Here is a 15,817-nt window from a genome sequence, read left to right on the forward strand (position 1 = left end):
TATAGCCACTTTAAATTGCAAATAAGATGTCCAGTTCCCTGACAACAGTCCCAGCTGCAACCCTAACTTAAAACGCCGTTAGCAGCCCCAACTGGGGCTCCTTCCTGCTGCTTGCTGCTGTGGGAAAGGGTAGCCGGCCCCTCCTGCTCTCCCTGTTGGAATGGTTCCCATCCTGCTCCAGCTTGCTAGTGATGCTCTCGACCAGTCAGGTTGAGGTGAGGAAAGGAGAGACCAGCGGATAAGAATAGCAGAAGGCTTCCTGCTCTCTGGACCAGCCATTGGCTCAGGCCAACTCTTGGGGGCACTTTCATGAGTTCTTTTGAGGCCCAGCTGAGACCTTTCATTGTTATGGGCACCATGTTTTCTTCCAGCTGCCCCTTTCCTGCTCAGAGCTTGGTTTTCTCCAGATCTACTCTTCAAAGCCCTCTCTGGTGTTGTCCCAGTGGCCATTCCCCAAGGGGTCCTCTGGGACAGGATTTTAAATCATTCAGACCCATGATATTGAGCCCAGAGAAACACTCACACATCCTTACTCCTGCTATCATGGGAGAGTAGCTAGGGTCAATGGCAGGCAGTGATCTTTCTCACTCTCTTTGTGTCTCCCTCCCTCCTCTTCCTCCCTCTTCTTCTTCTCTCTCCCTCTCTCTCACCCTCCCTTTTTCTCTCTCCTCCCTCCTCAGCTCAAAAGCCATAGGCTCTCACCTTTTCATTCCTCAAGAATATTTCCCCCAAATTTGAGAGCACAATATTTATTCAGCCACTTTCATTATCCTTGAGGTAAGGAGAAAGCTCCCCATGCTCCACCTCTGGAAGTGAGGAAGACACAGATTTTTCAAAAATTCTGTGTCTATCCTCTTTGTCAAGGTCTGAGTTCTGGAACTGTCTAGCTGGTTTTCAGTAACCTCCTCTGTAAATCCAGCACATAGTCTAGTCCCTCCCCTGGAATGCAGCACCAGTTGGGTCTTGGTGCCCCCATGGAAACTTCCAATGTAGCATTCTATTATAAAACAGGGAAGATTAAATTATATTTCATAATAAGTTATTATCTTCTATTCATCATGGTAAACAATTTCCACTTTAAAAAATATAACATTCAGAAGAATTCAAAAGAGCTTTTGCAATTTAGTGTAAATGCCCAGGAGTTACCACACAAGCATGTAAATAAAATTAAGCTACGAATGACCATTTATTATTGAACACTTATTTGGCTGGTAAACCACAGTGTTGAGTGCTTTGCATAGATTATCTTAGTTCTCACAGTAACCTTATGAAGTGGACATTACTATTCCTATTTTACAGGTGAGTAGACTGAGATCCTAAGAGGTAAAGTAATTCACCAATGATCTCCTACTAGTTGGTGGCAAAGCCTGGCCTTAAATCCAGCCAGTGGGGAATTTTTTTTTCCTTGGTACACATCTTAAACTCTATTAAGGAGAATTACCTTTAATGGCTTTTAAGAAGCTTTTAGGGGAGAGGATTGTTTTTATTATTGTTATTGCTGTTTAAATAACATCAGTTTTCACGCAAATTATTCCTCTCTTAGTGTGACAGAAAGTGCCATTTTAAGGATCCTGACACCTCCAAGTTCTTTACTCTTGTCTGTGAGTGTGTTTCTAAAGTTGATACCAAACAGTATCAAGAATGGACAGAATGATGCTAGCGTTAACAAAAATCTCTTGACCAAAATGTGCTGAGATTGTACAAATATTTGGGAAAGAATTGTCTCTGCTGATGGATTGAAAGATCTGAGGAAGTCACCGATTTACAGCATTGATAGGTCTCCTTTTCTTACGTATATGGGCAACAAGATTACTTGTCAATTTGACGTCTGCAATCACATTCTCCATAACAGAGTTTAACAACATATCATTGGCTATAACAATATGTGGCCTATCAGATGACTTGTCTGAATGCCCTGGGCTTCTGTGACAGAACCCTCAGACTGCTGCTGATGACATGAACCCATCAGCAGTGAAAACACTCAGGACACTTTACCCACCATCAGTCATGATTCATCTCTATTGACTACCTCAACTAGACTGAGGCACTTGAGGGCAATGTAAGGATAACCTCATGACCCAAAGGTGCTCCAGAGCCCTGAATTGCTGGGGTTTGCTACAACTGCAAGCTAATCTTCATTATGGCTTAAGTTATAATAGCTGCTGAATTAGTGATAGTCACATTTGGGCATAAGTCACTCAAGTTCTTATGGAAATGGGGATCTTTCAAATATGTGTGCTAGCAAACACTACTATTTGAATGATTTTTTTTAGTTGCTCTTATAATATGAACTTTATTCCTCTTTTGTGACTTATGCTCTTAACTCATTTAAGGAAAGAGATAGATGGACATTCACAGCAACAACCAAGTAAGTCCTGTTTCAGAGAAGCCAGAACTGTTTTAGGTCACAAATTATTATTACAATTACTGGTATGGGCCTTGGCCTGGTTAAAGCATTTTTCAGAGATGAATCACCACTGGTGGAGAATCGGGGCAAAGACATAGAGGATCATTGCAAACAATGCCTGAGCTATTTGCTGTGAGATTTACAGGGCAATAACTTAACTGAAAAATTTCTAATGTTGCAACCTAGGCATAGAGTAGGCCATGCTTTTTGAATTGAAGCAAAAGTTAGTGAATCAAGCAAATCCTATGCCAAGGAGTCATTGAGGCATTTTGCTTCACACTTGGACACTAAGCAGCATCCTAGGTCTACAACTGATTTCCAGATCTGTAGTCCCTCACCACTTGAGTCCATTCTGTCCACACAGTGACATTCACACAGAATAGCCCCATTTCAGCACTTCCCTACACTCCCGTCAAAACTCACTCATCAAGTTCATGTCCTTTGTAGGGATGTGGATGAAGCTGGAAACCATCATTCTGAGCAAAGTATCGCAAGGACAGAAAACCAAACACCGCATGTTCTCGTCATAGGTGGGAATTGAACAATGAGAACACTTGCACACAGGGTGGGGAACATCACACACCAGGGCCTGTCGTAGGGTGGGGGGAGGGGGGAGGGATAGCATTAGGAGATATACCTAATGTAAATGATGAGTTAATGGGTGCAGCACACCAACATGGCAGATGTATACAATGTTAGAAACCTGCACATTGTGCACATGTACCCTAGAACTTAAAGCATAATAATAATAAAAAAAAAAAAACTCACTCATCGGAACCCCTTGGCTGGATGGAATTTGACCCTCCCAAGCTAACCTGTCTCAACCTTTTCTTGCATTCAACTCCCCATCCCCCATGTTTCTCACCTTTAGGCTGATCTCTTGTTTAGAATGGTTTCTCTGCCTTCCCCAAATCGTACCCAATCTCCAGACCCTGCTTGGCCCCCATTTCTTCTGTGAAGGCCTCTTGGACCATCCCCACCTTTCTTCCTCGGAAGTGACTCATTCATTCCCAATAGTCTTTTGCACAGTCACCACGTGGGTATAGAGATTTTTCTCAAAGAGTACTTGCTAACTCATTTGGTGCTCATCATTTCCACCCTTGGATTGTTGGAATCTCTGCATTCAAGGTACCTGTCTTGTTTACCCCTCCCCTGCCCCAGCTGCATCTTCTTGGCATCCTTCATGGCATTTGACACAGTGTTTACAGAGAGAAGCAGTATTAGGCTGCTCTGCAGGAATCCTCGGCATTTCAGGAGAACATAAATCTGTCTGGTACATTGAGTGGCTTGAACAGGAGTCACAGCCTAGTTGTCCGTGTGCTCAGTGGCAAATCCTTCCATCAGGACTTCTCCTAGCAGTAAATCTTAGCTTCTGGGAGCTGGGAAGTCAAACTCCAAAAGCATCCTGTTTCTACCTTCATTCTCAAAGAAGAGATTCCCCTACAGCCTTGTCAAACCTCCATTTTCATTTCCTGATTTAGTTGAAACATATGTAGATGCAAATACTTCCCTTGAATATCAAAAGGCCTTTAATTTAAAATATGATTTCCACAGATGAAATGGACAACTTCTCATGAGTACAGAGTCTCAGATCTTTGCCATCTCAGCTCCCCCGGTTCCATTCTTGCGACCTCTGTGAAGTCAAAGTCCATGGAGGAGTTCTGATTAGATCTGTGGCCGTGCTAAAAGGAATCAGAGCCAGCATAAGCGAAATAGGCACATCAGAGAATATTTAGATGACACAATGTGTGACCATCTTTACCCTTCAATGAATGGGAGCCAATTGAAACCAACATATTGTGATACATTCGGGAATATGACGAAATTCCCCATAATGCACTACTGAGTTTTTGACACGTTGAGATGGTGACCCCAATGCCCCTGAAAGGGGAACAAAAATAAGAAATGCATAGTGCCACCAAAGGCTTCCTGACTTTAGAACTGCTCCTGACCCCCCACCTCCACCTCCAAGGCAGACTGTCTTTGTTAAAGGCACCAATAGTCAGGTCATTACAGATTCCTCTGGCTCTGACACTACTGTTATCCTATCCTTGATAAGTGATGCTCAGGCCTAGAAAAGAAGAAAGGACAGGGTGGGGAGGAACATAGGCAGCGCCATGTTTTAGTAATGTGCTGGCACAGTTGAAAGTGAGGTTGTGCTTAAGGAAGAGGCTGATGACTTGTTTGCATTTGCCTTTCTTCTTTCCACCCAGGAAGTAGGCAGAGTATTTCATTACTGCAGAGGTGAGCACAGGCTGGTGTCAATCTTCCCGGGACAGAACGCCTCTCTCTTCATCACAGTGTGTTCTGTAACTGTCATGTGCTGTGCTCACCCTGAACCATTCTCTCAGGCTACTTGCTCCCACTGGCTCTTAATCGCACCGACACCCTGCCCCAAACAGGACCCACAGCCCTGCCCCGTAGATGCATCCAGCTTCCACAGGCTTTCAGCTCAGGCTGATAGGATGAAATGAGGCTGCAAAGGCCTAAGACACTGGGGAAGGCCAGAGTGGATGGGTCAGTGGCTGAGTTTTCATTGTGCATGTGTGGAAAGGGGAGTTATCCAACATAAGCTGAAGATGGGAGGCCTGTTCCTGGGCCTCTCTTACCTTGCCTGTGGGGTCACAGGAGCCAGCCTTTGAATCCTGGCTGTTTAATGCAAGACCACTCATCAATAAAGTACTTGCTATGATCTATTGATGTGGACGCCTCCTGACCTTGCCCACACTGATGGGACGTGCTCATTGCTGATGCTGCGGGCCAGGCATTGCGGGCTTGCTCAGTGAGACTGCAGCCCTGCCACACTCCCTAGGGGACAGCTGACCACTCTCACAGTAATTACCTGAACTTTATTGGCCTCCATTGACAAATGCCGTTGATACTTGACATCCGCACAAGTCCTCCATTAGTGCCATCCCACAGGGGCTTTTGTGGTGGAAGCAATGGCATAGGGATGAGGAGGCTTTCTCCAGCAAGATCTGTCACTGAATGGCATGGTCTTGCAATTCTCCTGTGGTTCCAGCTGCATCTGGAGTCCCAGTGACGGCTGAGTCTAGAAACCACTCAGTCAAAAAACATTTACTGAGAAACTATGTTCAAAGCACTGCTCAGGGTATTGTGTGGGTAGAAAGCAGTATCACTTACAAACCCAGCCCACCAGCAGCCTTTCATCTAGTGGGAAATTGCAAACAAGACACACAGTGTGTTTTCTAAGAGCTGGCACCCTCCAAGGTCCTCCATGCTGTGGGAGCTAGGGGGAAGGATGGAAAAGCGAGCACGTGGGGTCAGCCAGACCTGGACTGTAGCCCCAGATTGTCACTTACAAACACTTCTGTGAAGAGACTCAGCTGAGTTGCTTGGCCTCCCTGTGCCCCTGTGTCTTGTCTAGTAAGCAGAGGCATGACAAATATTACTTCACAGAGGTGTTGTAAGAATATAGAATGCAGAGGAATCATATGTGTAAAAACACTTCCTGAGATCTTACTACTGTGTCCTGGTGGCCCCCAGGCCAGGTCACCAGATTTCACCTCTGAGAGCCAGAGCCCTTGAAGGCAACCGGAAAGCAGAGCTAGGTAACCATCCTACCGTGTGTGGAGGCAGAAAAGCATCCACACGGCCAGTGCCACGTCGCTTCTCAGGAGATGCCACCACAGTTGGAAATAGAGATCATGTTTTAGGTTTTTACAGATTACATCTGTCACTAACAGTGTGTCCCTAACAATATGGTCTCTATGTCCAGATTCTATGGACACCCAGTCTGTCCATTTGCTGTTTTTCTATTCATGGTGCCTTTCTCCTTGGCACAGTAATTGGATCTGGCCAGGCCCCTCCTGTGGTCAGTCCCCATGGTCCCTCGTTGAAGCCAGAAGCCACTGGATGCAGAGAAGAGCCTCCCCTGCCACCTGCCACAGAAGCCCCAAGCCCCTCACCTTTAGGCCCTGGCTTTAAAACACATCATTTAAAAGGCACTTTCTTTCTGATTTCAGTCCTCAGTAGTCATTTCACCTCTATTTTAAGAGTTTCAAAAGCTTGTTTATAATCTCAATTCTCTCAAGCCTTCAGAAAGCTTAGGTCCCTTGACAAATGTGCCACAGTCAGTAAGTGGCACAGCTGGGAATGGAATCCTGTCACTCTGTCTCCAGAGCCCAGACTCTCCACCACTGTGAACACCAGGGTGTGTGAGGCCCCTAATCCTGCTGGGGGTATCGGGGAGCCCCTCCCCCGACATTGAGAGAGGAGCTGGATGTTGGTGGAGGGAAGGAGGCAGAGGAAAGAATGTCAAAGGATCCCCTAGTTCAGAAAGTGTGGAGCCCCCCGGGGTTGGGGGGTGGTGGGGATGCACTCTTCCCAGGTGGAAGAGGGCCTTGAGTGCTGTGAGAAGCCCATCCTCCCTCTGGTTCTGAGAGAAAGCAGATGTCAGACCTGCCCTGGCAAAAACCGCATGTTTATACCTTAACAGATGCTTGATTTTATTTTTAAATAAGATGTTTCTCCCTTCCATCACATGAACTCAGTTCGTGTGTACTTATCTCTGCTTTAGATGCCTGCCCCTGCCACCTTCTTCCACCACACCCCCCTCCAGAGCTGCTTGCAGATTCTGAGTCGGCTCCCAGGGAGCATCCTAGAGAGACCAGGCACTGCATGGTCTTCAGTTGCATGCACAGACCCTTCACCGAGCCAGCTCCTCACCTTTGGCCCTCTCTTGCAGATTATCGGGACCATTCCACTGATGCCTAATCCAGGGCCATCGAGCCAAGCAGCAAGCGGCACTCAGGGCTTGCAAGTGCAGCCAATCACCCCCCAGCTCCTCACAAACGCCCAGGGCCAGATCATCGCCACAGTCATTGGGAACCAGATCCTGCCCGTGATCAACACCCAGGGCATCACGCTGTCACCCATCAAGCCCGGCCAGCAGGTAAATGTTCCAGGCCAAGGCAGCCATGGCACAGGACACTGTCCTTACCCAGCTTCTCCTCTTTGGTCTCAATCAATGAAAAGTAACTTTTACATTACAAAATAGTTGATCTCACTCATCTGAACATATCGATACTTATAAAATGGCATGTAACTCTTTTTCATTCTTAATGAATATGGGTGATAACTAAATACCTCTTTAATATAAAAATAAGAATATATTAAATTACAAACAGAGAGAGTGCCCTAAAATTCAATAGGGATGTATTCTTATTAATCTGTGCTCAAGATACTTAATTTTCAGATTTTCAAAATGAGGTCAAAAAGAAACCAAGAACACTCATGCCTTAACTGTGAATGAAAAAATTATTAAATATTAAGAGATCCCAAGGTGCTGCTGCTGAAACCACTGCCTACAAATGAGGAAATGAAAAATAGGAAGTTCTGCTTGGTTGAATTTCACAAAACCATGATGATCCGGTTAATTTTTCCATTCAAATATCAATTGAGAGCTTCCTGTGTATTTGTGCTAGAGATTGGGTCCACAGCACAGAAAAAGGTGTGGTCCCTGACCTCATGGAGTGTCTGGTTAATTGGCTCCTTCAACAAACATTTTGTGATAACCTACTGTATAGCAGGCCCCTGATAAATGTGAAGAAACAGAAATAAAGGAGAGATGCTTTCTGATTTTAGGGAGCTCATCACCCTGTAGAGGACACAGATTTATAAGCAGAATCTGTTGTGCAGTAGAGCAGAGACTGTCCTGTGACAGGGCAGGTATCACCACAGAGTTGGAAGTGACCAACTCTGCCCGGACAGTTTTTAGTCATCCCAGAGATAATGGCTTGGGAATGGAGTCCGGACAGCTGGGTATGAGTTAACCAAGTAAACGAAGGGTTAATAACATTCCAAGCAGAGGGAACAGCAGGCACAAAGGCAGGGAAATGGGAAAGAGGATGGGGTGTTGAGAAACAGGAGAAAGGCTCATGTGATTGGAGCAGAGAGGAGGCAGAGGACATTCATAGAAGGGCTCTATAAACAATCTAAAAAGGATGGACTTTTTCTCTGTGGGACCTTGAACACACTACATATCATCTTTGTGCCCCTGTTACCTCATTTGTAAAGTGGGGATACGCCAGTAGCTATCTCACAGGGTGGTTATGAGGATTAAATGAGTTAATATATATATGAAGTGGTCAGAATAGTGCCTGGCATACAGTAAGCACTAACATAGTTGTGATGATAGTGATGATGATGATGATGGTGATGATGATTGTGATGGTGATGATGATGGTGATGATTTAATCTGCAGCCAAGCCCTGGAGATCTATGAGAGGTTTGTTTTTGGGTTTTTTTTAAACTTCTTCTAAAAAAAAAAGCAAAAACAAAAAACACAAAAAAAAATGAGATTCATGTGCAGAACGTGCAGGTTTGTTACATAGGTATATGTGTGCCATGGTGGTTGCTGCATTTGTTGACCCATCCTCTAAGTTCCCTCCTCACATCCCACCCCCTAACAGGCCCTGGTGTGTGTTGTTCCCCTCTCTGTGTCCATCTGTTCTCAATGTTCAACTCCCCGTTATGAGTGAGAACATGAGGTGTTTGGTTTTCTTTTCCTGTGTTAGTTTGCTGAGGATGATGGCTTCCAGCTTCATCCATATCCCTGCAAAGGACATGACCTCATTCCTTTTTACGGCAGCATAGTATTCCATGGTGTATATGTACCACATTTTCCTTATCCAGTCTATCATTGATGGGCATTTGGGTTGGTTCCACGTCTTTGCTATTATAAATAGTGCTGCAATAAATATACATGTGCATATGTCTTTACAGTAGAAAGATTTATATTATTTTGGGTATATACCCAGTAATGGGATTGCGGGGTCAAATGATGTTCCAGGTTCTAGATCCTTGAGGAATTGCCATACTGTCTTCCATGATGGTTGAACTAATTTACATTCCCACCAACAGTGTAAACATGTTCCTATCTCTCCACAGCCTCGTCAGCATCTATTGTTTCCTGACTTTTTAATAATCACCATTCTGATTGGCATGAGATGGTATCTCATTGTGGTTTTCATTTGCATTTCTCTGATGATCTGTGATGTTGAGCTTTTTTTCATATGTTTGTTGGCTGTGTAAATGTCTTCTTTTGAGAAGTCTGTTCATATCCTTCGCCCACTTTTTCATGGGATTGTTTTTTTCTTGTAAATTTGTTTAAGTTCCTGGTAAATTCTGGATATTAGACCTTTGTCAGATGGATAGATTGCAAAAATTTTCTCCCATTCTGTAGGTTGCCTGTTCACTCTGATGCTAGTTTCTTTTGCTGTGCAGAAGCTCTTTAGTTTAATTAGATCTCATTTGTCAATTTTGGCATTTCTTGCCATTGCTTTTGGCATTTTTGTCATGAAGTCTTTGCCCATGCCTATGTCCTGAATGGTATTGCCTAGGTTTTCTTCTAGGGTTTTTATGGTGTGGGGTTTTACATTTAAGTCTAATCCATCTTGAGGTAATTTTTATATAAGGTGTAAGGAAGGGGTCCAGCTTTAGTTTTCTGCATATGGCTAGCCACTTTTCCCAGCACCATTTATTAAATAGGGAATCCTTTCCCCTTTGTTTTTGTCAGGTTTGTCCAGGATCAGATAGTTTTAGATGTGTGGTGTTATTTCTGAGGTCTCTATTGTGCTCCATTGGTCTATATATCTGTTTTGGTGCCAGTACCACACTATTTTAGTTACTGTAGCCTTGTAGTATAGTTTGAAGTGAGGCGGAGTGATGCCTCCAGTTTTGTTCTTTTTGCTTAGGATTGTCTTGGCTATATGGGGTCTTCTTTGATTCCATATGAAATTTAAAATAGTTTTTTCTAATTCTGTGAAGAATGTCAGTGGTAGTTTGATGGGTATAGCGTTGAATCTATAAATTACTCTGGGCAGTATGGCCATTTTCACAATATTGATTCTTCCTATCCAAAAGGATGGAACGTTTTTCCATTTGTTTGTGTCCTCTCTTATTTCATTGAGCAGTGGTTTGTAGTTCTCCTTGAAAAGGTCCTTCATATCCCCTGTTAGCTGTATTCCTAGGTATTTTATTCTCTTTGTAGTGATTGTGAATGGGAGTTCATTCATGATTTGGCTCTCTGCTTGTCTATTGTTTGTGTAAAAGAATGCTTGTAATTTTGCACATTGATTTTGTATCCTGAGACTTTGCTGAACTTGCTTATCAGTTTAAGGAGTTTTGGGGCCGAGACGATGGGGTTTTCTAAATATAAAATCATGTCGTCTGCAAGCAGAGACAATTTGACTTCCTCTTTTCCCATTTGAATACCCTTTATTTTCCTCTCTCGCCTGATTGCCCTGGCCAGAACTTCCAATACTATGTTGAATAGGAGTGGTGAGAGAGGGCATCCTTGTCTTGTACTAGTTTTCAAAGGGAATGCTTCCAGCTTTTGCCCATTCAATATTATATTGGCTGTGGGTTTGTCATAAATAGCTCTTACTATTTTGAGATATGTTCCATCAATACCTAGTTTATTGAGAGCTTTTAACATGAAGGGATGTTGAATTTTATCAAAGGCTTTTTGTGCATCTATTAAGATAATCATGTGGTTTTTGTCTTTGATTCTCTTTATGCAATGGATTACGCTTATTCATTTGCATATGTTGAACCAGCCTTGCATCCCAGGGATGAAGCCGACTTGATCGTGGTGGATAAGTTTTGATCTGCTGCTGGATTTGGTTTGCCAGTATTTTATTGAGGATTTTTGCATCTGTGTTCATCAGGAATATTGGCCTGAAGTTTTCTTTTTGTGTTGTGTCTCTTCCCGATTGTGGTATCAGGATGGTGCTGGCTTCATAAAATTAGTTAAGGAGGAGTCCCTCCTTTTCAATTGTTTGGAATAGTTCCAGAAGCAATGATACCAGCTCCTTTTTGTATTTCTGGTAGAATTCAGCTGTGACTCCATGTGGTCCTGGGCTTTTTTTGGTTGGTAGGCTATTAATTACTGCCTCAATTTCAGAACTTGTTATTGGTCTATTCAGGGATTTGACTTCTTCCTGGTTTAGTCTTGGGAGGGTGTATGTGTCCAGGAATTTATTCATTTCTTCTAGATTTTCTAGTTTATTTGTGTAGAGATGTTTATAGTGTTACCTGGTGGTAGTTTGTATTTCTGTGAGATCAGTGGTGATATCCCCTTTATCACTTTTTATTGTGTCTGTTTGATTCTTCTCTTTTTTCTTCTTTATTAATCTAGCTAGTGGTCTACCTATTTTGTTAATTTTTTTCAAAAAACCAGCTCCTGGATTCATTAATTTTTGGAAGGGTTTTTCTTGTCTCTATCTCCTTCAAATCTTCTCTGATCTCAGTTATTTCTTGTCTTCTGCTAGCTTTTGGATTAGTTTCCTCTTGCCTCTCTAGTTCTTAATTGTGATGTTAGGGTGTCGATTTGAGAACTTTCTAGCTTTCTGATGTGAGCATTTAGTGGTATAAATTTCCCCCCTTAACACTGCCTTAGCTGTGTCCCAGAGATTCTGGTACGTTGTGTCTTTGTTCTCATTAGTTTCAAAGAACTTCTTGATTTCTGCCTTAATTTCCTTATTTACCCAGGAGTCATCTAGGAGCAGGTTGTTCAATTTCCATGTAATCATGTGGTTTTGAGTGAGTTTCTTTTTTTTTTTATTATTATACTTTAAGTTCTAGGGTACATGTGCACAACGTGCAGGTTTGTTCCATATGTATACATGTGCCATGTTGGTGTGCTACACCCATTAACTCATCATTTACATTAGGTATATCTCCTAATGCTATCTCTCCCCCATCCCCCTACCCCACAACAGGCCCCGGTGTGTGATGTTCCCCTTCCTGTGTCCAAGTGTTCTCATTGTTCAATTCCCACCTATGAGTAAGAACATGCGATGTTTGGTTTTTTTGTCCTTGTGATAGTTTGCTGAGAATGATGGTTTCCAGCTTCATCCATGTCCCTACAAAGGACATGAACTCATCCTTTTTTGTGGCTGCATAGTATTCCATGGTGCATATGTGCCACATTTTCTTAATCCAGTCTATCATTGATGGACATTTGGGTTGTTCCAAGTCTTTGCTGTTGTGAGTAGTGCCGCAATAAACATACATGTGCATGTGTCTTTATAGCAGCATGATTTATAATCATTTGGGTATATACCCAGTAATGGGATGGCTGGGCTGAAATGCAAATCAAAACCACAATGAGATACCATCTCACACCAGTTAGAATGGCGATCATTAAAAAGTCAGGAAACAACAGGTGCTGGAGAGGATGTGGAGAAATAGAAACACTTTTGCACTGTTGGTGGGACTGTAAACTAGTTCAACCATTGTGGAAGACAGTGTGGTGATTCCTCAAGGATCTAGAACTAGAATGAGTTTCTTAATCCTGAGTTCTAATTTGATCACACTGTGGTCTGAGAGACTGTTATGATTTCAGTTCTTTCACATTTGATGAGGAGTGTTTTACTTCCAATTATGTGGTTGATTTTAGAATAAGTGCCATGTGGCACTGAGAAGAATGTATATTCTGTTGATTTGGGGTGGAGAGTTCTGTTAGGTCTATTAGGTCCACTTGATCCAGAGCTGAGTTCAAGTCCTGAATATCCTTGTTAATCTTCTGTCTCATTGATCTGTCTAATACTGACATTAGGGTGTTAAAGTCTCCCACTATTATTGTGTGGGAGTCTAAGTCTCTTTGTAGGTCTCTAAGAGCTTGTTTGATGAATCTGGGTGCTCCTGTATTGGGTACATATATGTTTAGAATAGTTAGCTCTTCTTGTTGAATTTTTCCCTTTACCATTACATAATCCCCTTCTTTGTCTTTTTTGATCTTTGCTGGTTTAAAGTCTATTTTATCAGAGACTAGGATTGCAACCCCTGGTTTTTTTTTTGCTTTCCATTTGCTTGGTAAATTTTCTTCCATCCCTTTATTTTGAGCCTACGTGTGTCTTTGCACATGAGATGGGTCTCCTGAATACAACACACCGATGGGTCTTGACTCTTTATCCAATCTGCCAGTCTGTGTCTTTTAATTGGGGCATTTACCCCACTTACATTTAAGGTTAATATTGTTATGTATGAATTTGGTTCTGTCATCGTGCTGCTATTTTGTTATTTTTCACACTAGTTGATGCAGTTTCTTCATAGTGTCATTGGTCTTTATATTTTGGTGTTTTTGGTTTTTGTTTTTGTTTTGTTTTCTTGAAACAGATTTTCGCTCTTGTCACCCAGGCTGGTGTGCAAAGGCACAATCTCAGCTCACTGCAACCTCTTCCTCCTGGGTTCAACTGATTCTCCTGCCTCAGCCTCCCGAGTAGCTGGGATTACAGGCATGCACCACCACACCTGGCTATTTTTTGTATTTTTAGTAGAGACAGGGTTTCGCCATGTTGGCCAGGCTGCTCTCAAACCCTGACCTTAGGTGATCCACCCACCTCAGCCTCCCAAAGTGCTGGGATTACAGGTGTGAGCCACCACACCCAGGCTTTTTGGTGTGTTTTTGCAGTGGCTGGTACCAGTTTTTCCTTTCCATATTTAGTGCTTCTTTCAGGAGCTCTTGCAGAGCAGGTATGGTGGTAAAAAAAATGCCTCAGCATTTGCTTGTCTGGAAATGATTTTATTTCTCCTTCGCTTATGAAGCTTAGTTTGGCTGGATATGAAATTCTAGATTGAAAATTCTTTTCTTTAAGATTGTTAAATAGTGGCCCCCAATCTATTCTGGCTTGTAGAGTTTCTGCTGAGAGGTCAGCTGTTAGTGGGATGGGCTTCCCTTTGTAGGTGACCTGGCCTTTCTCTCTGGCTGCCCTTAACAGTTTTTCCTTCATTTTGCCCTTGGAGAATTTAATGGTTATGTGTCTTGGGGTTGATCTTCTCATAAGATATCTTAATGGTATTCTCTGTATTTCCTGAATTTGCATGTTGGCCTTTCTTGCTAGGTTGGGGAAGTTCTCCTGGATGATATCCTGAAGTGTGTTTTCCAGCGTGTTTCCATTCTCCCTATCTCATTCTGGTACTCCAGTCAATCATAGGTTTGGTCTTTTGATGAAGTCCCGTATTTCTTGGAGGCTTTCTTCATTCCTTTTCTTTCTTTTTTTCTCTAGTCTTGTCTGCATGCCTTATTTCAGCAAGATGGTCTTTAAACTCTGATATCCTTTCTTCCACTTGATCAATTTGGCTATTGACACTTGTGTATGCTTCACGAAGTTCTTGTGCAGTGTTTTTCAGTTCCATCTGGTCATTTATGTTCCTCTCTAAACTGGTTATGCTAGTTAGCAATTCCTCAAACCTTTTATCAAGGTTCTTAGCTTCTTTGCACTGGGTTAGAACATGCTCCTTTAGCTCATCATAGTTTTTATTAGCTATCTTCTGATACTTCTGTCAATTAGTTCATCTGATCCTCCATCCAGTTCTGTGCCCTTGTTGGAGAGATGTTGTGATCATTTGGAGGAGAAGAGGCACTCTGATCTTTTGGGTTTTCAGCATTTTTTCATTGATTCTTTCTCATCTTTGTGAGTTTGTCTAGTTTCAGTCTTTGAGGCTGCTGATCGTTGGAGGGTTTTTGTGAGGGCTTGTTGTTGTTGTTGATGATGATGATGTTGTTGTTGTTGCTTTCTGCTTGTTTTCCTTTCAATGGTCAAGTCCCTCTTCTGTAGGGCTGCTGCAGTTTGCTGGGAGGTTCACTTCAGGCCCTACTCATCCGATTCACTCCCGTGCCTGGATATGTCATTCAAGAAGTCTGGAGAACAGAAAAAATGGGTGCCTCCTCCTTCTTCTGGGACCTCTGACCTCAAGGGGCACCAACCTGATGCCAGTAGGATCACTCCTATATAGGGTGTCTGACAACCCCTGTTGGAGGGACTCACTCAGTTGGGTGGCATGGGGAACAGGACCTGTTAAACGTGTAAAAGGTATTTTTAAAGCTTAGCTTTTTTTTTTTTTTCAAGAAAATAACTCTGATAGCACTACAGAGGTTGAACTGAAGTAAACCATCTACTGTGAGCAAACCATTTAGGAGTCTATAGCAAAACACAAAGAAGAATTAATGAGAGCATGTACTTGGAGTTGAGTACATGGGAGTCAAGTCATGAGTACATTTGTTGTAGCTGAAAACAATTGAGACACCAGAGAAAGCAAGAGGAGCAAGGGAAGAAAAAAAATCAGAAAAAAATATGAGAAGCAAGGGAAGGAAGACTAAGAGTCCCTCTTGGGAAACATCAGCATTTAAGGAATGGAAGAGGAAAAATGAGAGAAGAAATGGTTGGGTAACTAAAAGAGAAACCCAGAGTGTGGTGATCTAGCATCCAAGTATTTCAAAAAAGTAGGAAGTGGACGAGCATCAAATGCTGCAGAAATAAAATTAGGTAAAGCAATGAAGAAACATCAATTCCTCTGTTTCTCTGTTACAACATTTTAAAGTCTGGATTGTCCCTGTTTGAAACATGTTGAAATGAGCTCCTTAACTGAGTGAGTTAAGAA

The 15,817-nt window shown here is 42.7% G+C and overlaps 1 protein-coding gene and 1 long non-coding RNA gene across 6 annotated transcripts in view; one reads left to right on the forward strand and one right to left on the reverse strand.

Moving 5' to 3' along the window:
* Positions 1-15,817, forward strand: part of POU6F2 (POU class 6 homeobox 2) — a 490,693-nt gene that overhangs the window by 448,053 nt on the left and 26,823 nt on the right. For all 5 annotated transcript variants that reach the window (NM_007252.4, NM_001166018.2, NM_001370959.1 and 2 more), the window contains one exon: positions 7,116-7,322. In NM_007252.4, coding sequence (NP_009183.3) covers positions 7,116-7,322 — 207 coding nt within the window. The remainder of the gene's footprint in view (positions 1-7,115; positions 7,323-15,817) is intronic.
* Positions 1-15,817, reverse strand: part of LOC105375238 (uncharacterized) — a 58,176-nt gene that overhangs the window by 9,682 nt on the left and 32,677 nt on the right. The gene's annotated exons all lie outside the window — the stretch shown is intronic.

The sequence above is a fragment of the Homo sapiens genome, chromosome 7, assembly GCF_000001405.40.
Source record: "Homo sapiens chromosome 7, GRCh38.p14 Primary Assembly".
NCBI classification, from domain to species: domain Eukaryota; kingdom Metazoa; phylum Chordata; class Mammalia; order Primates; family Hominidae; genus Homo; species Homo sapiens.